This window comes from Homo sapiens, chromosome 4 (assembly GCF_000001405.40).
Source record: "Homo sapiens chromosome 4, GRCh38.p14 Primary Assembly".
Classification (NCBI taxonomy): Eukaryota; Metazoa; Chordata; class Mammalia; order Primates; family Hominidae; genus Homo; species Homo sapiens.
In genome coordinates this window covers 129,882,474-129,907,256 of record NC_000004.12, presented here as the reverse complement: position 1 = coordinate 129,907,256, position 24,783 = coordinate 129,882,474, and the positions used below count along the sequence as shown (strand labels likewise).

Sequence of the window (24,783 nt, the reverse complement as noted above, 5' to 3'; positions counted from 1 at the left end):
GTTACCTTCAAAAGTGGTGGTGGCTCTTACTGACAAACTCCTATTCTGAGGTAAGCCAAATAGTGATTCTCTGCATATTATGCAAGTTTAGGTAATAGCATGGGCGAAATGTTTTATTTAATAAATCACTTTTATGTTGTTCATAGTTTAGAAAAATATTTAAGTATGGAGTTTAAAATAGTTGGTGTTCAAAGGCTTTTCATAAGAAAATGCTCATTATATTTTTGTAGGAGTAGTGGGCAAACATATTTATTTTTCATCCTTAGTTTTTCTCTATTCCTCTCTCTATATAATATAAAATATATATAATTTATATTTTATATATAATAAATTTATACATAAAATATGGTATAGTGATCTCTAAATACAAAAATTATATATAGATATATGAATTACATGTTAAATACAACTGACTGATATTACACATATAATTGTATATATATATACACACACACACACACACACACACACGCAAACACACACATGCACAGTACATATAATTCCTGTAGAGCTCACTATACCAGATTTTCTGGAGAAGAATTTGGTGGTATATGTCTATAAATCTATATCTATATGTATATCTTATGTGAGAACTTTACTTTCTCAAATTATATAATTGATCCAAAAATTAAATATCAAATCTGCAGAGTTAGTGATCTATATATCCAAAAAACCGTAGTTTATTTAGACATTTTTTCAAATGAAAAACTAAAGGAGAAGCTCAGTTGAACCTACTTTTTTAAGTTTTAAAATAATTTGCCATATTAATGAATTAGTATAAGATACATAATATCATAATACAAAGATTGATGGAGGTAGGTATTGATAGGATTGTAAGTTAATAACAGCTTTAGCTTTCTTCATACACAGCAAAAAAGAAAAAAAATAGAGTTTAAACTCCTCCTTCTTCCCTGTCATTCTTCATAAAACCCGCACATACCCACAAAATATACATCAACAACAAAAACATAGATCCGAGGTGAGCAATCCATTTCAAACTATAAAGGAGGATTGGACCATTAAATTGTATAATTGGAATTATGGTTAAGACATAAAGTCCTATGCATTGTTATTTTCTATTCATTATTAGTATGAATTAAGAATCCTCCTAATCAACAGAAATTTGAATTTCATTTTGATGTTTGGAATTCTTTATCTTCCTTTAACTGCTGTTCGCAGGACTCAATCAAGGATATGTCTTTGCAATGATGTTACCGATATATATTTCATAGTTGAGTGGAAAATTCTAAAATAGCCAATACATCATTTTGCTCTAGATTTGGAAGCTAATAAGACATGGCTACAAATGAATAATTAAAAAACCAAATTACCAAATCATATCCCTAAAGGTTTCTTTCAGTTCCCCAGACGGTTCCCCTACAATTGGCTTCTTGTGTATGAGTAATGAAAACCAAGATTTGCGTTTACTTCACTGACCCTGAAAACAAAAACTCTTATATTTATTTTGAAAGTATTATAGACATTTGGTTTTATGGAAACATTCTTCAATGTTTCAGATTTGGGAAGTACTACAGTGCTATCTTTAACAGTAGGTTTTCCTCAGCAATGTTGGTTTAGGACAATACTTTTCTATCTTTAACATGGATAAGAATCACTTGGAAGGCTAGTTTAAAACAAGATTGCTAGCCTAGACCTGTGAGTTTCTAATTGACTAGCTCTAGAATGGGGCCCATAAATTTGCAAACGTTGAGGACCACTGATTTAGGATATGTGTCCATTAATTTATCAGCTGAAATTACATATATATAACTAATAATAATAAAAAACAATATTTATTATAATATAATTTATTATCATTGAATAATAATAAATTAAATAATAATAAATAATATATATTTTATATATATAACTAATGAAAAACAACTTGTGCTGATTTGAACTGTGTTTATGTCTCTGAAAAGTCAGTTTCAGAAAATGTCAACATATGGTTCCATATATTCATATTTAAAATAACAAATTTTATTTCTAGTAGCAACTTTATGTTATTAATGCCTCTTGCTTAAAATGAAGTGAAACTGTGAATATTACCAATGCTATTACACTGAGAAGTAAGAAAGTATTTTAGAAGAGCAAATTGCTAGTTTTTAACTTTCTTTTTATATATATATACTTTTTTTATTATACTTTAAGGTCTAGGATACACCTAATGTAAATGACGAGTTAATAGTTTTTAACTTTCTGTGCATTTTTTGGCTTCAAATAAAATCTTAACAACAATAGTCTCCTTGGGCTTTTCATTGACATCTTTTAAAGTAATTCACAGGCTGAGGAGTGCAGAAGTTAATCATTTTGACTAATTTGTAATTAGCTCTACCTGTATTCCAGAGGAAATGATCAATATTACCATTTGAAGAGGCCAGGCTTAGATCCAGCAACACTTCTAGAACATCCGCAGTTAATTTTTGACATTCAGTGCTTGTTCCTCACTGGAAAAGCTAAAATTCTCTCATTCAGTCACAATTTATTAGAAAGTTTTTTTAAAAATGGAGAAAATAAACATCTCTTTTTAACTTTTTAAAAAATTTGGGTGAAAAAGGTGTTTAAAAACACATAAGTCAGTTATTATTGTTAAAATTATTACTGAATTAGTGAAAGATAATTCCTGTCATATGTGTTCAATTTTAAGAAAATAAAAAAATTTCCCTTGCAGATTAGTTTTCTAACACATTTGACATACTTAAAGTAGAGCTGAAATGTTTTGAAATGTGAAATCAATTAACCTTTAAACAACTTTTAATTTGATTTTCCTGGCAATTCAGAACACCTGTTTTGGGATCTGGTTATACCAAACACTATTTCAGAGACTGAGGAAAACATCAGAAAAACAAGAGAATTTCATTCCTGGGGAAGGGGTGTATATTTTAGTAAGAAAAAGAAATTCAACTTAGGAAAATATGATATTTCCTCAAATCTTCAACATGGAGTATGAGATCCCATAAATAGACTCCTGTTGACCATCCCTATTTTATTTTATTATTTAGTTTAGTTTAGTTTTTCAGTGTTCATTTTCCTTTAATGACTCCCATCACCCTGAAGGGCAGATGCAGGCAGGTAGAAGATGGCAAGAGATACTCACTTGACGATCTCGCCCTGATTGAAGGCTTTGCCCATATTCTGGAAACCCTCCTCCCAGGAAAACTACGCTCCAACCAGGGTCTGGGGCTCGTCGCTGCCCGGAGCCGGTTTTTGCCATGTGTATGACTGGTAGTCCATCTGCCAATCTGGACTCAGCAGAAAGGCAAGCTCCTGGCCTCAGAAGCCTCAGACTCCAGAAATAGAGCTACTGTTGTTGGTTCCAAAGAGGATGACACTGGCAAAGGCATCTTCCTCAGCTTGTCCAGTCGCTTGAACATTCCAGTGATGAGATTGCAAGTCATAAAGGTCTGAGTGAGTTCTTTAGGAAAGCGATATTGTGAGTACCACAGGGACCAGCCATCCTTATCAAAGTGCTCCCAGAAATAGGGCAGCACCACAGAGAGCGTGTTCTCGTTGGAGTACTTGCACTTAAATTCATCCAACACAAAGGTACTCTTGAGCAAGTGAGCGAAGAGGTCTTTGACCTTGAGCTCAGCAGCCAGCACCTGCTCACATTCGTCCATCTCCTCAGGAGCAGGGGCAGCTGCCTTTTTCTCCTCCTTCCGCTCAGCCTGGGGCTACTGCTTATTTTCCCGTGAACCTTTCCCTTTCCATGGGGTGTCTTTTTCAGGCTGGCCTTCTGCAAGCTTTTTAGCATCAAACCGGGTCATGTTCACAGACAGTTTCACCTTCCCTAAGACAGCCCGGAATTGGGGCCGGTTAATGCAGGTGAGGAACCAGCAGTTGGTATTGGGAAAGGCCTGGCAGGAAGAAGGCTCCAGAACCTGCTTATAGAGCCACAACAGGGTGCAGAAAACTACTATGTCAGCCAGACGAAGAGTCCTCGTCTTCAAGTGAGCATCCAGCAGCCCCAAAATTCGCCTCACCTCTGCCTTTGCATTCTCAGTAGCCTGTTTGTTGTGGTGCATGATGCCCAAGGTGGGAAACACTGAGACACTGGCTGGGGACACTGCATTGCTATCAAGAGAGCTCACCCACTGCACCACCTGGGCTGCTGCCTATGGAGTCCTTCCCCACCGTTCCTCATTGCTCACATAGTAGCAATGGCATCGCTTTCAAACACACAAAATCCATCGTCACTCTCAAGTGCTGGAACCTTGCTGGCAAGAAATTTGCGAATAAATTTGGGGCTGCTATTGCGAATAAACACAGGGGCCTGGATGGCCTCTGAGCCCCATCAGTCATCTCTTTCTGCTTTCTCAGTTCCGTCAGCTTCCTCACAGTTGAGGAACAGAGTTAGGGGCATTTGCCATTGCTGTGCTCCCAAACTGGGTTGCTGGTTGTGGGATGACCCTTCTACATGAGGAAGAGAGAGGCAATCCATTTCCAATGCCCCACTTATTTGCAGTAAATAAGAGATGGTTGAGGAGGCTTTTGGCAGTTCTGGCTGATATGCCCTGGCTGATTACAGCAATAGCAGATAGTGAACTCCTTTGTGCCCATAAGGCTCCACGCTGATGGCTGGCCAGGAGCCCTTAATACGGGCAGAGAGTTTGCAATGGCAGCAGCCAGGTAGTGAGCCGCCACTCATCTCTTTCTCGATCTTTTCTATCCCATTCAGACTGTGATATTTCCTCCCATTATTAAAGACCTTGAAGAACCACATCCAGCAAGATGGGAAATGGTGTTTGTGGTCTTTGGTCTAGTTTCTGGAGTTTGTGTCTAATATTTGGAGATGCCTGGCTGATAAAACAAACAAACAAACAAACAAACAAAAACACTCAAAATAGCTAGGCTTTCTGGCTTTTGGGGTCCACATTAGTATATTTTCTCTTGGCTCCAGCCAGCTTGGAGTGAAATAGAGCTAGGTTTTCATTTGACCTCTGTGTTACCTCTCTTAGTTCGGCTTAGTTGACCAGTTTTATGGCAGCCTTTTTCATGCCTTCAGTTAAACAAGTAATTATAGGATTATGGCATTCCCTGCCAGTGTTTCTCTCTTGGTAGGTCCATCTAGAATCAACATCAGGAACTGCTGTTCTCCCCAGGCCAGAATCCTAAGGGCTCTGGTCATGAACTTCATCTTTCCACCATTGAGCTAGAGACAAAATGTGGGACCTTTCCTCATGAGTACAACAGTTGGTAAAGATAATATAAACGTCCAGACAAATGAGATCAGAGGAAACAAAACTTACTCTGAATTCTTTTATGAAGTGAGAAGAGTCCTGGCCTTGGTCCTAAAGGAGCTAAGTTTACCTTGTATCTGATAGAAGTCCAAAATGGGAAAGGAACATGGACTCTGATTGTTTTTAGAAGTGGTTTGCCACTTCTCAGAGTGACAAAACTTTTCCTGGGGCTGAAGTGGGATAATAAATGGCTCCCAATCCAGTATGTGAGGGGAGAAAAAGGTTCCAGGTAGGGGAGAGGCAGAGAGAAGGAGGTAGAAGGTGGAGTGGAAGGAGGGAAAGGCATAGGAATAGATACACTGTTGGGGAGGAGGAAGAGGAGGAAGGTGGGGAGGATCTTGACCATGGGAGCATGAAAGAGGGTTCATCTGAAATGTCTGGAGTCAGGAGAGGTAAGAACTTTGCTAGGTAAATTCAACAGTTTCCTTGAAGGTCTGGGTCCCAACCCCAGGGACATAAAAGCCTGGATAAAAGGAACCTCAGGCCATTTGGAGGAATTTTGACAACACAGATTGAGTTGCAAAAAGTATTAAAATCCAAAGTCCCATTCAGAGTCTAGGCTAATCGATCTGAGAGTTTATCAACAGGCTAAACCACATTACACAAGAAAATTAGGCAATTCTTCTTGAGAGTCTGAGGGTGAAATTTGTCCCAATGTTTTAGGATGCAACACAGAGGTGAGTTGGAAGGAATACACAAAGTTTGCCCCATGCTGGGACTGGAAAATGATGAGCCACTGGAGGCTGATATCTGCTGGGGACATGAAGCATACTTTCTCTCAAGGCATCCTGACAGGGGAAAGGATACCATTCAAGTCCACTGGGGTACTTCTGAGATGTCCTTCCTAGAGGGGTATTGCACCTATTTGGAAAGACCTCCCAGCACTGGGGACAATACCGCTGGGACCTTACACTAGATGGCTTGTCCAGGCAGGAGGTATGAAGGTGAAGGGAGAACTCAGCCTGGAACCAGCCCCAGGAGAAGGGATGGGAATGGGGAGATTCATCACTCTGAGGCCACTGGCGATCACCTGATTTGGGAACATTTGGAGCTGGAGGTCTGGCTACCTTTATGTGAGAATTAGAGTAAGAGGAAGAGAGAGTTTATGTCACCCAAAATGTGTGTGGATTTGCCCTAGAGGAGCCGCTGCTGCTAATTCTGCAACATGCAGGGATTGGAGACCTCTGACCAGAAAGGATAGGAAACAACCTTTTTCCCTTCTGGAAGGCAGCCAGATGTTTGCCCTTTGGCCTTCAGGCAACACCAGGGAGCTGCCCTGGACAGATACCACTAGTTACCAGAGCACTACTAGAGGTCGGCTGCTGGAAGTCTGAAAAAAGAAAATGAACTTAGGTCCCTCACCTGAGTGGATGGTGGTAGTCAGACACTTCCATGCAGACACCTTTCAGTTTCACCAGAGTATAGCCCTGGCCATAGACTGTCAGTTGTTTCCATCTTGGGTGCTGTCCACAGAGGATCCTGAGTGGGAAGACAGAAAGGAAGAGGGGAGAGAGTCTCCTGTAGAGAGGTTCCCTGTACAGGCTACCAAAATGTCATGGTCAATGACTGCCTGAGGCCAGCATGGGCGGTAAAAGAATTTACCAAGACAGTCATAAGTTTAGAAAGGCAGATATATTAGAGAAAGGGGAGATATATTGCAAGAGAGCAATGGGCAAAACAGCAGAGGGAAGGTCTGCGACGAAGTGGAGACTAGAGGAGTTTTTAAAGGGTCATGCTGCTTGGGCTAAATGCTTGAAACAGGATGCTTGGGTGCAGGTGTGTGGGGGATCAGTCAGAGTGGTGGGAGAAGCTATAGGGAAAGGAGCAGGCCTTCTGAAAGATTGGAAGACTCTGCATAGCTTTGGGGGAGAATAAGCTGAAGGCAGCTATTCTCCTACCCTGAGGCAGAGGGTGAGGAATAGGTACAACGGAGTGTAGGGGGATTTATCTTAAATAGGCTTGTTTACTTTTGTTGTCCAGGAAATGACCTTTGATCATCCACGTGTGTGACTGCTCTCTGAAAGGGGCAACAATAATGTTAATTACCCACAGATTGTGTTTGCTCCAGGCTTTCAGCATTATGTGTGTATTGAATAAGCAGCTCCAGCTGTTCGAGACTGCTCTTTTCTTCAGCCACTAGTGCCAGCAGCCCCCTAGCTGCTGTTACACTGCATACCTGTGTCTGAGTACTCCTTTCATCCTTCTCTCCACCAGGGTCTGCAGGACGGACCCGGCACAGGTGGGCCATGAGCTGAGCACTTGGGTTTAATGTTTGGTTGCAAGTGAGCCATTTACAGTTGGCCCAGTTTCTCAGAACATTCGCTGTCCTCTATCCCTGTTTCTGTTCCTGCCAGCTAAGCCCATTTTTAATTTTCTTTTAACCCTTAGGGTGCCACAATTACTAATAATTTAACCAAAGAGTTAAATTTTTGGTTCTCATTAACAAAATACATAAATGCTAAGTGATAAAGCACTTAAACTTCTTTGAAAACTTCAAATATAGAAAAAATGGTCTGTCTTTATATAATGGTACTTCCACTATGTTGACTAAAATAGTTTCCTCAGCCACCTGACAAAACTAGAACTGATATATCCACTCTGTTGAATGTTAGGCCACGGTACAGTTGGGTTGGTAATAAATTTGTATTGTGTAAAATTCCCCTCTGAAGCTTTTTATGAGCCAGTGGATGGGCCTTTTTGAATGTAGAAATTGACAGAGCCACTGCTTTCCTGATCAGATGTGCCTTTATTATAATTCTCTCCTAGTGACTCCTTAGATATAATGTAACTTTTATCTCATATCCTTTGCATTGCTGGGATTAGATTTTTTTTTTTCTGTTTTGAGGAATCTCTGTGTACTTTACTCAAGGCTGCAGTTGATATCTAGTTAATTGATACCACCTTACAGGATAGAGGTCAGGGCCTCACCTTCTACCCACTGATCAATATTGCCTTTCCATCCATCAAAATATATCCTTAAGAGACAACGAATAATTCAAGTTGCTGTAGCCATGCATACTAAATGTGGCTTCATAAAATCTACCTCTTTTATTATCATATCTGTATGCTATCTCTGATTTATAACTTATTTTTAAAAACAGTTTTACTGGTTAAGTAATGGACTCTGTTTCTCTAAAGTTTTCAAAACACTCAAAAGGAAGTTTTGTATAACTTCTGAGTGGAGTAATTTCAATTTTGTTAATATCATAGAAGCCAAGAGAGAAAATATAAGGGCAAAGTGCATAATAACAATACCAATCAGATTATTGATCTCAATCATTAGAAGTCCATCAGCCAGCACCTTTCTAATAGTACAACACATACTATAGATTTAATGAGTCTATATTTTCCAATATCCTTTATTGTTTGAACCATTCCTCACTCTGGTCTACTCCTTATATCTTACAAAATAAATGTATAAAAATATCTAGCCTTTTTCTTCTTAATAATAGATATGTTGAATCTGTGACTTATACCTCAAATCAACAAAAATGATGAGTTAATGGGCCTCCCATGTGGTTCCACTGTTATCTTGGTTTTATATTTTGCATGAGTGTAAATCTTTCTCCCATTATAGTTTTTACCATTGCTACTCATGTTTGACATATTGCATCTTGTCAGCCACTTCTACTCTCATTCAAAGATCAAAGTCCTATACACCTTTGGAAAACTTTTTGAAATATTAGTCAGAAGCATTTGGTACCTTATACACTTTGGATATTTTTCCCCTCCAAATCACATGTTGAAATTTGATCCCCAATATTGGAGGTGGGGCCTGGTGGGAGGTATTTGAATCAAGAGGGTGGATCCCTCATGAATGGCTTGGTGCCCCCCTTGTGGTAATTAGTTCTCTTTAGTGAGATTTTATTCTTTTAGTTACCAGGAGATTTAACTCTTAAAGAGTCTGGCACCTCCTCCCTGTTGCTCCTGCTCCCTCTCTCACCATGTGACACGACTGCCCCCTGTTCATCTTCTGCCATGAGTAAAAGCTTACTGAGGCCTCACCAGAAACTAAGCAGATGCTGGTGCCATGCTTATACAGCCTGCAGAACCATGAGCCAAATAAACTTCTTTTCCTTATAAATTACCCAGCCTCTGATATTCCTTTACACATTAAGTTGTTCCACTAGGAAAACTTTCTAACTTGTATACTCATGTTGAATACTTTTAGGGTGGACAAGTTGTTCCTCACTGTCAGTTCATAAACCAGTGTGATGAAAGGAGCACATATATTGCATCAGAAAACTGAACTGCAGTTAATTTTCAAAAATTCATATCTTAATAGGGCATTGCAATTTGCAAATTTCCTATTTCCAGAAGTCCAGAAGACTATGGTAGGTTGACTTCAGTCTTCACAGGAATATATACCATCACACTTTCTGAGCACATCCTATGAGTGCACGCTTAAAGCCAGTAATAAGCTGCAGAAAACTACTGCTAATGATGTTGTTATCTTAGCTGAAACTTCCATGGAGACTGCTGCTGCTTTAGTCTTCTCTTGATTCTGCAAAGTGGCATGATCCTGAGCATATGCTTCCAGTTTATCAGCTAAGTCTGTTTCTGAGGAACTCTTGCTTTCTTTGATGGCGGCTTACCTGTTATCTGAAGTCAGGCCAAAACTCTTTGGAATTTGATGAATACATTCTTGAACATGAAACACTGCAAGAATATTTTGTTTTAGAGTAGAAAACATCCTGTAAACCAACTATTTCATGCATAGTGCCAGCAGCATTGCCAGATTTGCCATCTGTGTAGCAAAAGTTTGTCTATTCATGTTTTATAATTTGAAGATTAAAAGATAAAGGAGCGATTTCTCACTTTCTTTCACCAGAGCCTGAGCTATGACTTGGGTCCTCACTATAGCCACCATATAATTGTCAACCCTCCTAAGTGAATCTCTTCTTTTCAGATCCTTTCAGTTACTTGTCAAGACTGGAGAGAAGATGGTTGCTTTTGGTGAAAGTTTTAATTTAGATGACTTTTAACATCTTTATGACTCAAATCCTTTATGATTTCCAACAGAACCTCAAGGATAGTTTGTCCATGCTTCCAGGACCACCAAGTCCTTTTTCTATCCCAAGTCTGACTTCTCAGGAAGGCACAACTCCAGCAAAGCTCTGCTGGATCATTCTCCATCCTTTCTATTTTAAAAAACAGTTTAATCACATGGATATGCTATTTATATTAGAAAGTTATGGCATTAGTTCTCTTCTGATACACAAAAATTTATCCTAAAACTTAGCTTAAAAAACATTCATTACCTCACACAGATTCTGCAGGTCAGGAATTTGGAAGAAGCTTAGCTACTTGTCTCTAGTGGTAGGTCTCTTATAAAGCTGCAAACAAGCTATCTGCTGGAGCTGCCATTATCAAAAGGCTTAACTAGAATCATGGTATCTTCTCCCAAGCCCTCACATGTAGCTGTTGGCAGTAGGCCTCAGTTTCTACTGATACATAAGCCTAGAACATATAGATATGTTGCATATATGGATATAAATGTGATGACATGAAAGTATTAATAAAGTTGATGTGGAGAAAAATTAATGAATTTTGTTTTGACAATGTTAAGTTTCAGATAACCATGAAGAACACAGTTATAGTAGATATTTAGAGATTTTACACTGTTTTAGATGGGAGAATTCAGAGATTGGGATGAAGATTTTGGTATTTTTATAGTCATGAACTACACAGGGCAGGGAATATAGTCTCAAAACAAGAGGTGGGAACTGAGTAGTGCAGGAACAGAAAAATATATATATAAGCAAAAAGAAAAAAAAAAGACCTTTCATGAATGAAAGGAAAAAAGATAAATCATTGCATTATGGCTCATGAAATTATGGGAAGAAAGTGAGTTCCAAGAACAGGTTCACAAACATCAAGAAGATGAACACACACACACACACACATACACACCTTCAAATAAGAAAACTGGTTCCTTCTCAAGCCAAGATTTTGTGATTTAAGTACTATCCTCCTCTGGGAACATCCCTACAATACCATTAACTGGGATTAATTTTTATGAGGCTTTTACTACCAGCTTTTTTAAAACTAATTTATCCAAATTTTTAGAGCATTAAACACCAAACTTAAGCAGACACCGGATCGTGTAGTATTCACCTTCTTTCAGCATGTCACTGTCTTTAGCTACAAAGCTGATTGACATGATTCCAAATGGAAAAAGGTATGGGAAACTGAATATAAAGGAAAAACATTTGACTGTAGATTCAAAACATATGAGAGGAGAAAATATCTGAATAAATACACTTCTGCTTAACATTTATTGAAACAAGCTAAGATACTAACAACATTTTTATTTAAATGTCATGTGTCTTTTTATGCTAGAAGAAACTGCTATTTACTTGATCATTTTCTTACACAAAGTCACCTTGCAGAGGCATGTTGTGAAGTTCTCTCTCCTTCCGCCCATGATACCAGTCAGTGGTGGAGTGTCTCAATCACCCATTTCTCCTCACACCCAGACTCTCAGGGGATTACAGGTTTGGGAGGATGGGGTGAGGAGTTCCAGTCCAGGAAAGGGACTAGGAATCTGAGCAGTTGATGCCTCCTCAGCTGGAGAAGGAGCAAATGAGGAAGAAAATCATCCAATGTCTCAAGCTGACCAGATATCTCAGATGTGTCAGAGTACATTACCCCAAACGTGGCCATGTGAATGTGAGTCGAGAGACATGAAGAGAAGAAATACAAGAAACAGTGCAGTGAGGGTAAGCAAGCACTGCAGCAGCTTGCTTGATGGCAGAGCCAGGACATTACATGGCACCACAAGCCAGGGGACCCGAGTGAGAGCAAAAAAGAGGATGGGAATTGTGAAAAGCTCAAAGGATTTCCATTAACCCCTCACTCCCAACAGCATCCCCTCCCCTTAGGCCAGGATTCAAAGGGCTGTGACTCCAGCCTTTTATTTACTGCTTTATTTTTCTGAAATTGATGTGGCTATAGCAAATGGTTATTTACAAATAGTAATAGCAATAGTAAACTGGATCAATTAGGAGTTAAATCCTGATTCAGGCTCTCATTGGCAGCGTGGCTGGGATAGGCTCTTGACTTCCAAATCTTAGTTTCCTTAACTGCAATACATAAAGTTGATCCTATATGTAACTATCTTTTGGAATTGTAAACTGTAAGTGAAATAATTGCCTTTTATTGAATAATTTCTAAGTGCTTTATAAGCCTCATCATATATTAATCTGTGCAACACCCCATGAGTGGGTTGCTTATAGAAAGTGGAACTAACAGGGAAGATGGCTAAGATTTCTGATACTACAAAACTAGAAAATTACAGAGCTGCTCTCAAACTCAGGTATACTTGGTTTTGAAGTAAATATTTTTGACCCCTGCCTGTCAAAAGGTAAACATTTAAATGTTTCCTGCTATCATTATTAATATTAAAAAATGAAAACTGGAAAAATACAAAATGACTAATGATAAAAATAATTACTATTATCACTGTTCTAATAACAATACATATTTATTGAGTACCAGCATACGGTCAGAGCCTTTGCATATATCATCTCATTCAATTGTGAAACATCTTTTATTTACTTATTTTTTTTGAGATGGAGTCTGTCACTCTGACGCCAGGCCAGAGTGCAGTGGCATAATCTCTGCTCACTGCAACCTCCGCCTCCCAGGTTCAAGCGATTCTCCTGCTTCAGCCTCCTGAGTAGCTGGTACTACAGGTGCGTGCCACCACACCCAGTTAATTTTTGTATTTTTAGTGGAGACGGGGTTTCACCATGTTGGCCAGGATCGTCTCGATCTCTTGACCTCGTGATCCACCTTCCTCGGCCTCCCAAAGTGCTGAGATTACAGTCGTGAGGCACCGTGCCCAGCCATGAAACATCTTTATGAGGCTAGGAGCATTATTATTCCATATTCAAAGATGAGCATACTGAGGTACAGAATGTTGCAATAACTTGCTCATGATTACATAGGTAGTAAATGGAGGAGTGAAAATCCAGACCATGTCAATGTGACTGGAGAATCTGCAGAAATGAGCACTCATCTATACTGCCTGCCCCCACTTAATCCAACTTCTCTTTCTTAACCAGGTTCTTACATTATTCTGTTTCTGTGTGTGTGTGTGTGTGTGCATTTCAATTGTAGTATTCATATTAAAATATTCAAAAGTTGTATTCATAATGTATTTCACATTTTACGCTGCTTTTTTCTTCCAGCGTTCTCTCATGAGTTTTTCCTATATTCCTTTTCAGTTGCCATAATTATATTTATTTTATTCATGAATAACATTATATACAGTAATGTTCTAAAATTGTGGAGGTATTCTTCTATGATTGGGCATTTTATTTAGCTTGTATTTGATTTTTACCTAACATAAATAACTGTACAATTTATTTTTATAGATATGAGCTTTTAGTTATCAAATTATTTCTAAGCTAAATTTTCAGAAGATAAATTATTACATTAAAGTATATGAAACTGTTTATGACTTCTTATACATAATATCCAATACTTCACTGAACTGTCACCACATTCTCCAATAATAGCATCAAAAGAGAATATCAAGAAAATAACTGTAAAAAGAAGAAATCTCTTTTTTGTTTACATGTGTATATATATATATATAGAGAGAGAGAGAGAGAGAGAGCCAAATGATGCTTCAATAGCCACTGGAATGTGCACGGCATGAGAGCGTGCATACAGCAGAAATGATGAGTTATGGAGTTCCCAAAATCATTTCTGTACCCTGAGCCCCAGCAACACATGTAAACAGCTTGCCAAGGCTTTCTTGGATTCAGAGGCCACTGAATAGCACACCTAACCCATCCCAAAGTCAATAGGGAACACTCAACCTTGGGCTCATTAACATTGTGCCATAACCTATAGAGCTAATTTTCCAACAAATGCCTCACAGCAGGTACTTAATAAGTTCTTGTTTCCCATCTTTTGCTCAGTCTCATATGCCCACATTCTCTCCTGCTCCTCAGAGTTCCCAATAGCCTCAAACTTCAAACTTTACAAACCATTTTTCATTTTCCATAATAGCTTCACAAAAATCTGACTCTTTTAAAGATCTTTTCATTTGGAGAATATGGGAAAGGATTTTATCAACATTTTCTGAGCCATTATTTCTCTGGATCTATCAACTTTTTGTGTCATTCTACCTTATCTCTCTCTTTTTAAAAATTATTTTTAAATAATTGTATGTATTTTAGAAGTTTAACATGACGTTTTAATATACATTCATATACATAGTGAAATGATTACTACAGTCATGAAAATTAACATATCCATCTCCTCACATAGTTACCATTTTCTTTCTTTTTTTGTGGCAAGAGCACATGAAATCTCCTTTTTTTTTTTTTTTTTTTTTTGAGACGGAGTCTCACTCTGTCTCCCAGGCTGGAGTGCTGTGGCACGATCTTGGCTCACTGCAAGCTCCACCACCCGGGTTCACACCATTCTCCTGCCTCAGCCTCCCAAGTAGCTGAGACTACAAGCGCCCGCCACCACGCCTGGCTAATTTTTTTTTTTTTTTTGTATTTTTAGTACAGACTGGGTTTCACCGTGTTAGCCAGGATGGTCTCGATCTCCTGAGCTCGTAATCTGCCCGCCTCGGCCTCCCGAAGTGCTGGGATTACAGGCGTGAGCCACCGTGCCCGGCCAAAATCTACTTTCTTAGCAAATTTCTAATGTGCAATACAGAATTTATTACTGACTGTAGTCATCATGTTGTACATTGAATCTCTACACTTCATCCTACGTAACTGCATTTGTGCCCTTTGCCCATCTCTCAATTTTTTTCCCACCTCCTTGCCTCTGGTAACTACAGTTCTACACTCGCATCTATGTCTTTGACTTTTTTAGATGCCACATTTAAGTGGGATGATGCAGTACTCTTTTGTGTGTCTAGCTTATTGCACTTAGCCCAATGTCCATCAGTTTCATCCATGTTATTGCAAATGGCAGGATTTTTTTCATCTGTCTTGAATTTCTGAATTTACAGTTTATCTTGAATACTACAATCTTGGTCAACATTTTATATAGTGAGCATATGCAATAAGTGTGTACTTTGACAACTGAGTTTTTGTATCAGTCTTATAACGGTTATTTTCTGAGGTATTTTTTTTCCTTAGTTGAGGCTTTGATCTTTTGGAGCACAAGGAAGCTGCTTTCTTGATTAGATGTTGTGGTCCACTGGTAACATCGGTAACCTAGCTATTTTGCTCAGGTTCCCTACAAATGATGTAAAAATACAAAACATGCTCCTATAGCGGCATCTGTTTTATTTAGAGCTTTGTAGAATCCATTAAAATATTACCAATGGCTAACTTCAATTTATAAATTCTGTCATATTAGTGAAATATGACTGCATTTTTAAAGAAAACTAAATGCTAAAGTAAGCTTCATGTCTTAATATGAGAGCATTGCTTTAAGTTGTTTTTATATTCTAAGGTAAACATATGTAACGGTTTAAGTGAAAGAAAAACATATCCCAGAGTAAATGTTATCTGATTAGTCCATTTACAACTTCTTTTAGGCTTTACATATGACAAAATTACTCACAAGACTATTCTATCTTGTCCATGGCACAGCTATTTTAAAACACCCCATTATCAAAGGGTTTATTATTATTATTATTTCAGTTGTTTAAGCATTTCTTAAGGCACTATTGTGAGGCTATAATTTGTTCTAGGGGCTAATGAAACAAGGATAAATAAGACAGTGTCCTTCCTTTAGAGGTTTACAGTACAGTAAGAAAAACAAAATATAAGCATACCACCACAGTTCAATGTAACAATTGCTAAGCTGGAGGTATGCACAAAATGGTAACACTTGTGAAACCTTTATTTGCTTTTGATGGCACTAACGTTTGCTGCTATTTTGTTCAGTGTGTGAAATAATGTTGTCTCTCACTTTTCTATTTTTTATTTTACAAGGTCCTCTTGCTTTTCAAGGTAAGCATATAAGGGCCCATATTAAATTTTTACTTCCCTATAATGATGTTGAGATGATAATATTTACTAACTTTCTTTGAATTACAGCAAAAAATAAGAGTTTTTAAAAGGCATTGCTTTTGATCTAGCACCTTGACACTTTGATCTGTCCTTACTTTGAAGATGATTCTAAAAGGAAATTTCAGATATACTCAGGTAAAAAGATTTACATAAAAGACCCCAAACTCTCAGCTGAAAGATATATCATTCTACTATAGAAAAATATGTTTTAAACTTACTCATGCTTTGCCAGACAGTGATGACAATACAAACTTTAGTCTTCCCAAAGGTATACAGATTCCCTTTTTGATATGTAATTTATTATTGCTTAGCAATTCGTTAAGCTTCCAAACAGCTCTTTAAAACTGAGTCAAGAGGCAATACTTACATATATTTGCACACTTGATAGTTTGTTATCTAAACTGATAACTTGGTTTTGAGATATTTTGATATATTAAGAATATAGAGTTCTAACTGTTAATTGAAATTCTCCCTCATCTAATCTATACAAAATAAATTTGATGAAATACTGTTTATTGCTTTCAGAAAGGTAACAATATTGTTCTTACCATATACTTTAAGTGTACACATTTTTGAAATATGATAAACCTGCCCTTACACATCAAGCAGATTCTCTAAGTATTAGCCGGTTAGCTACCTGTTGAAGAAGCTTCTTAGATAGCATTCCCTAAAATGAAATCCCAAACACAGAAAATAAAGATCTTTTAGCTTTACATATTTACATATTTTGTTAATGGCCCTTATTTGGAAGTGTGTAATAAGTTTTGGTTTACATGGCAGTTCATCCCACTAAACTATGGCCTCAGTACCATACAAAACACTCTAGTAATCATATTAATCATATTAGCGAATGAACACGTGATCATCCTCAGATATTAAAAAACAGATATAACAAAATTAAATGTAGAAACTTTCTTCATGCCCTGTTTATTGCTTTTATGTAAAATGTAGTGTTGAATTGAGAAAAGGGTTTTTAAATGTAATTGGAATAAGAGAAGTCACATTTTTAAAAAAGAAGGAAGAGGGTCCCTTAATGCTTACTGTGTTGCCATTAAATTACAAGATAAACCAACAGGCATAAAAAAAGTTTTAGGATTTTTTTCATTAGATTTGCCATGCTCATTAGTCTTTGAGTTAAGACTTTGCTTCTGTCTGTTTTACGAAGATTTAGTTACAGTTTATAGAAGTGAAGAGGAAGTAGGAAATGATGTGGGAAATTGCCTTGCTAAGAACCCTGGTTTATAGTGGTGATAAACATAAGTCAAAGAGTCCAACAATCTTGAAATTGATTTTTATGCAATGAACAGATGGCGAGCCACATAAAAAATACTTAAAGAGTAAATACTGTAATATGGAGAAATACTTATGCTACTGTGTTAATTGCAAAAGGAAAATATACACTTTTACAACAATTAGTTCTGTATGAACAAATATTTATTGATCCTACTATATGCACAGTACTTTGTTAGTTGCTAGAAATACAGTAATGGTTAAGACAGAGAGTTCTTGCTTTTTTAGAGCCTACAACCTAGTTAGGTTTGTGTGGGAGTGGGAGGCTGCATGCAGGCAATTAAACAGCTATTTAATGGAAATGTTTTAAGTCCTAGAAGGGGGAAGTTGCAAGCTGCCTTGGAAACTACTGTGTGAAAACAATTTTAAATCAAAGAACCTAGGAAGGCTTCTAGGAGGAAAATCTCATAAAATGCATTTCAATTAAATTTTAAAAATAGATGGGATGTCAAGCTACTACCTGTGATTATGTCTAGGAATAAAACTATATACAGCAGATCTCACTTTTTTTTCTATTTTTCTCTATGTTTCAAATTGGTACTATTTAGTGGAGATAGCTTCTATAATGGGAAAAATAAATTATAGATTAAGATGACAAAACAACAATAAAAGGATATAAGTTAACTTAGGTACAAAGATGTTAAAGAAAATAAAGAACAGGAACTTGCATAGGAAGAATTTCCAACAGATCTAAATTATGTACTGGTTAAATGTGTACACCTATATGCTCATTTTAGGCAGTAGGCCAAGGTGCAACAAGACACTTAGATATAATAGAATGTTAAAATAACTCCAAGATGGAGAAAATCAAGAAGCCAACTGCCCCTCTTCATAGCTGTTCTCAATCAGCCTCTCAGTCCCTCTCTTTCTCTGTCAACATATTTAGTATCTACTATCCACATGATTCCTTTTCATCCTTCTCTGAAGAGTGAAGTTATGTGCCAATTTTGTTTATTTATTTATAATGGAACTTTTTAAATAACTCATTTTTATGACATATTTGTGATATTTAGTATAGAATAATGTGCATAACTTTTTAGAATATTAAAATTTTCCCCAAATACTGGATGTACTTAAAGATCTCAAGGATTAATTTATACTTCAAATGGTACAATAAACAAAATAAACAATAACTTTACAAATGAGAATTGTATGATGACAAAATATTCTGTATCTATACCACATTTTGTGCCTAATATATAGTAGATTCAGTAAATTAGTCTTAATGACTGATGAAACAAATGAATAAATTAAAATATTGCTACATATAGACTAATACTTTCAGCCAGACAAAAATTTACTCCTTTAACTTCAAAATACTCATGAGTCTGTTGTTATTAGTTCACTCAATAAAATTGATCATAAGGATGTGAGTACACTTATGTTCATTGTCTATAATTATGTAAAAGATGTCTTGTTGTATTACTTTTAAAACACTGAAAAGATATTTAGGTGAAAACTTTATTTGCTTTGAAATCATAAAAGCATACAGAAAATAATCAACAATTTATTTAATAATTTTAGAAATGTTACTTTATTTGCACATGAAGTAATGAAATTATCTTCGAAACCAGCAAATGGGTGAGTTCCTCCTTGTGGTGCATAAAATTCACTTGAGCTATGGTCATGTACTTTATAAGTATGTGTTTACCTTTTCATTTGATCCTCTGAGAAATGAATGGCTAATATGAATCTCGAAGTCAAGATAGTATCAGTAAAATTAAAGTCAAGAATAAAACACTAACTAGATTAGTGGGGTAAAGAACTCAGAAAAGAGAAGAACCAGATATACCTAATATTGGTATGATGAGTTAATGGGTGCGGCACACCAGCATGGCACATGTATACATATGTAACTAACCTGCACATTGTGCACATGTACCCTAAAACTTAAAGTATAATAATAAAAAAAAAAAAGAAAAGAGAAGAACCTTAGTTATTTAACACTCTAATGGGTGGTTAACTTATCATCATAGAGAAGTCAAGCAAATCTTTGGTAAAATTAGAACCATCATCATAGTAAAAATGAAATGGGTTTTTATATTACCAAAGAGCATTAACAAAGGATGCTCATATTTTATTAATTTTGGAAACTCATATAGTCAATACTAATTCTTTAAGGCATTATTAATATTTGGAAACAATGTGATTTACTCTCTCTGTGCATGTAAATATATATATATATGTACATGGTTATTTAGATAACAGAATTTTTTTCTAATTTGAAGTGTTCATTTGAGCAATATAGTAATCAAATTCAACAATACTTCAGAGTTGTGTTTTAGATCTAAATTCAAATATTAAACTATACCATTGCAGTATCACACAAGAATATGAGGAGACTTCAAAAAGTTTGTGGAAAATAAAATTTAAAGATAAAAATACAAACATAAACTGAATTTCTCAGCATAAGCTCTATCAAGTTTAAGACACTTTTGTAAGCAATGATATCAGTCATTTAGTTCAACCTTAAAAAACTGAGGGTCTTAGGAATGTAACCATGTCAATGCAGTTTTTTTACATTATTAACTGAAGAAAAATGAGTGCCTTTCAAAGATTTTTTGATTAGGAAATATAAACAAGTCAGAATGAGCCAGATCAGGACTGTACAGGGAATGCCTAATGATTTTCTACAGAAACTCACAAAATTGCCCTTGTTAGATGAAAGGAATGAGCAGGAGTGCTATGATGGTGGAGAACTCCTCTCTGGTGAAGCTTTCCCAGGCATCTCTTTATTAAAGCTTTGGCTATCAAGACACTCTCATAATAAGCAACTTTTATTACTCTTTGGCCCTCCAGAAAGTCATCAAACAATATTCCTTGCATATTCCAAAAAACTGTTGCATGATATTTGCTCTTGACTGGTTCACTTTTGCTTTAACTGAACCACTTTTACCTCTTGATAGCCACTGCTCTGATTGTGCTTTGACTTCAGGATCATACTGGTAAAGCCATGTTTCATCTTCTATTATAGTTCTTCCAAGAAATTCTTCAGGACCTGGATCTCACTTGTTTACCATTTCCCTTGAAAGCTCTGCTCTCATCTGCAGCTGATCTGGACGTGATGATTTGGCAACTATTGAGTAGAAAATGTGCTCAACTTTAATTTTTCAGTCAGGATTGTATAAACTGAACCAATTAAGGTGTCTACAGTGTTGGCTATTGTTTCCCCTGTTAATCATTAGTCCTCTTCAATCAGGACATAAACAAGATGAATTTTTTTCTCACAAGTTGATGTTAGATGGTCTACCATTAGCGGCTTAATCATCAACATTGTCTTGTCCCTTCTTCAAAAGTTCTCCATTTGTAAACTGCTAATTCTTTAGAGCTTTGATCCCATAAACTTTTCATAAAGCATCAATTATTTCACCATTCTTTCACCCAAGCTTCATCATAAATTTAATGTTTGTTCTTCAGTTTTATCAAAATTTATGTTGCTCTGATAGGGGACTCTTCAAACTGATGTATTATCTATCTTAGTGCTTCAAAGTCGATCAGGTTCAGACATGATATAACAAGTTAATATGAACTTATTTTGGTGTAAAAAAATTAACATCCGTGCATCATTTTTCCATAATATGTATTTTCCATAAACTTTTTGAGGAACCTTAATATTGAGCCAGTAATATAAAATGGAAACTATATAAAAATGCTGGTTTCACAGTCAAAATTAGTTGAACATTATTATTTTTATATGACATGATATAACATTTTAAATTAATAGACTCACATAACAAATGTGCACTTGTACCCCCAAATCTAAAATAAAGTTGAAATTATGCAAAAAGGCTTAATAGACTCATTTTAAGAATTATTTTGAATTTGCAGAAACTGTGCGCAGATAATATAGTCTCCATATACTCCCTACCACATACACACAATTTCCCCTCTTACTAACATCCTGTATTAGTGTGGTACATAGTCACAGTTAATGAACATATTGATATATTGATACATTATTATGAAGTATAGTTCATAATTTATACTAAGGTTCACCTTTTGTTGTACACTTCTATGTTTTTCACAAATGCATGTTGTGTATCCACCATTACAATCTCATACAGAATATTTCACTGCCCTAGAAAACCTCTGTGCTTAATCTATTCACCCCACTCTCTCTCTTTCAAAACCCGGGCAACCACTGACCTTTTTAACCTTATCTACAGTATTGTCTTTTCCAGAATGTCACAGTCAGAATCATATTATATACAGCCTTTTCAGACTGATTTTTTTTCTTTTACTTAGCAATATGCTTTTAAGGTTCTTCAATGTCTTTTTGTGGCTTAATAGATCATCTCTCCTTATTGTCAAATAATACTCCGTTTCATGTAATATATAGGGTATTTGTTAATCCATTCAACCTACTGAAAGGTATCTTGGTTGCTTCTTTCTAGTTTTTGGCAATTGTGAATAAAGCTGCTATATGCATTCATGTGCATGTTTATATGCAGATATAAATTTTCAAACTCATTAGGTAAATACCTAAGAATGGGACTGCTGCATCATATGGTAAGACTGTTTAGCTTTGTAAGAAATCGCCAAACTGTCTTCCAGTATCACTATACCATTTTGCACTCCCACCAGCGATGAATAACTTTTTCTTTTCCCTCTGGTATTCCTGTTACATGCATTTATACCTTTTGTAATTGTCCCACAGTTCAGGATATTGTGTTTTAATTTTTTGTCTTTATTTTTCTTTTGTCTTCGCATTTCAGTTTGGGAAGTATTTATGAACATATCTTGAAGCTCACTGATTTTTTTTAATTGGTGGTGCACACTCTAGCTAGGAGTCCATCAAAGGCATCTGCCATTTCTATTACAGTAGTTTTGATTTCTTGCATTTCCTTTTAATTCTCTTTCAGAGTTTTCATTTCTCTACAATGTTCATCTATTCTTGCATGTTGTCTACTTTTTCTATTAGAGCCCTTAACATTTTAATCATTATTTAAATTCATTTTCTGCTAATTACAGAATTAATGTTATATTCACATTGGGTTCTGATTCTTGCTTTGCTTCTCCAGATTTTTTTTTCCCTCTTACCATGTTTTTAAATGTTTTGTTGAAAGCCACACAGGATGTATTGGGTAACAGGAACTGAAATAATTAGGCTTTTAGTATGAGGACCTATGTTAATCTTGCTAAGAACAATGCCATACAAGGTGTAGTTGCCAGATGCATCAGTTTCTTCTAGTTCCCTCTCTGTTTCTTCTCCTATTGTCTTTGGATTTCACTAAGAACTCCTTCAATAGTTTGTGTGTCTTCCAGCTCTCTCAGTTGTAATCCACTGTTCTTATAACAGAGCACTGTTGATGTGATGGTAAAATGTTAGGGACAGGAAGCATTCTGTAATTTTATGATTAAATCTCAGTGTTTAGTCAGTCTCTCTAAGCTGTGATGTTCAGCATTTCTTAGCCTTTATTCTCTCTCCTTACAGGAGACAGGAATGCTAGAGTTGGCTAATCGTTTTTCCTTCCAAGTCATATAAAGCTCTGGTAAAGTAGTTTCATTTAGAGAGCAGGCCTTTATTATGGAGAATGCTCTGGGCACTTTAGTTACTTTTCCTTTCGCTAGACCTGCATAAGACTTGGCCCCCAAAGGCCACTCCACCCTGTAATCTAGTGGTTAGGGTTTGGTACTTCCAACACTGTGGCCGAGGTTCAATTCTCAGTCAGGGGATCAGTCCCCTGGAGATCTAAATTCTTTAACTCAAAAGGAAAAGAAGTGGGGAGACTGGGCTCCCAGAAATTTCTAATTCTCAAACTATATGCAACCAGGCTGTGTATTCAAACTAGTTTACTAGAGGCTGCATGTAAACTGGTTTGAGTTTACAAGCAGCCTCTAGCAAATCATCAAAACTACTATTTAAGTGTTCCTACCAGTCACTGGGTCCAGTGGCTTCTGCTTCAGGTAAGCTGACCTTGGCTGTGATTCTCTCTATTGACCTGTCTCTCCATATTTCAGAGTGACAATTTGCCCTGGGACTTCAATTTTAAGATGGCTCTAAGAAAATTCATGTTAATTTGCTTATCTTTTTACTTGTGGGGACAAGAGTGACAGCTTTTTGTATGTCAGAGCTGAAACTGAAAATATAACATAACTTTTTAAGGAAAACATTGCCCAATAGTAAAAGCTCCCATGCAATTTTAATATAATGGAGGGAAAAATAAAAACTTCCATCAAATTATTCATTTGGCTTTCCATTAATTCACTAAACAGCATTTATCGCAGTATTCTAATTTTGGACATATGATTTTCTCATCATACATAATTTTCACAAAAGTGTCACAAAATAATCCCAAACCCCTAAAATGTCAATCATCTAGGACAGTTATTTACAGGCCATTGTTGCTACAGCTTTTTTCAGTTACACAGTTTTACAGTGCTAAGGTTCAAATGGCCCACGGATCACACTTTTTTTCACCAAAAAATATCATGAGCAGTCTCCTAGATAAATTTCAGATATTTATTTAAATTTAGGGACAGTGCTAATTACTATTAAACTTTCTCTATCATTGAACAAAATTTATATTTCCTCTTGAGTAGTGTCATTGCTAATTTCTTTGTCTATTTCACATTTCATAGTTCCCAGCACTTATTTTATGTATACCACAATCTCATGAACAAAACTCTTTTGCCATGTTTTTTAGATCTGTATATTCATGTGTTTCATCACCTCTGAAAATTCCTAGTCATTATTCCTAAGTGTATTTCCCCTCTTCTACATTCTCTATTCTTGCTCTCTGGAACTCAAATTAGATCTTCTAGTTGTAGTTTTCTTTAATTTCTCTTTCATATTTTCTGGAAGCTATCTTATCTGTGCTGAATCCTAGGTAATTCCTTCAGCTATATCTTCGGAATAATTCTGCATTCAGCTATGTAGAAACCCTTTACATTTCTGCACTGAGGTTTTTATGTATGTTTTTGTTGCTGTTGTTGTTTTAGTCTTCATGTTTTTCATATCTGAAAGTTCTATTGTTTCTTTTTCAAATGTGCCTGCTCATCCCTAAAAATCACTTATTTAATGCCTTTAAAAAACATTTTTTATGGTTGCATAGTATTCCATGTGTATATGTACCATATTTTCTTTATCCAGTCTATCATTGATGGGCATTTAGGTTGATTCCATGTCTTTGCTATTGTGAATACTGTTGCAATGAAAATACCTGTGCATGTGTCCTTATAATAGAATGATTTATATTCCTTTGGGTATATACTCAGTATTAAGATTGCTGGGTTATATTGAATTTCACTAGATC

General features: G+C 36.3%; 1 long non-coding RNA gene and 2 pseudogenes across 1 annotated transcript in view; all 3 read right to left on the bottom strand.

The window, feature by feature from the left end:
• The window catches only part of LINC02465 (long intergenic non-protein coding RNA 2465), a 183,750-nt gene that overhangs the window by 48,112 nt on the left and 110,855 nt on the right, over positions 1-24,783 (bottom strand). The window contains exon 12 of the long non-coding RNA NR_151713.1: positions 6,603-6,719. This is a non-coding gene — a long non-coding RNA (long intergenic non-protein coding RNA 2465). The remainder of the gene's footprint in view (positions 1-6,602; positions 6,720-24,783) is intronic.
• On the bottom strand, positions 3,016-4,256 carry EEF1GP8 (eukaryotic translation elongation factor 1 gamma pseudogene 8; annotated as a pseudogene).
• On the bottom strand, positions 9,356-10,111 carry LOC100128983 (mbt domain containing 1 pseudogene; annotated as a pseudogene).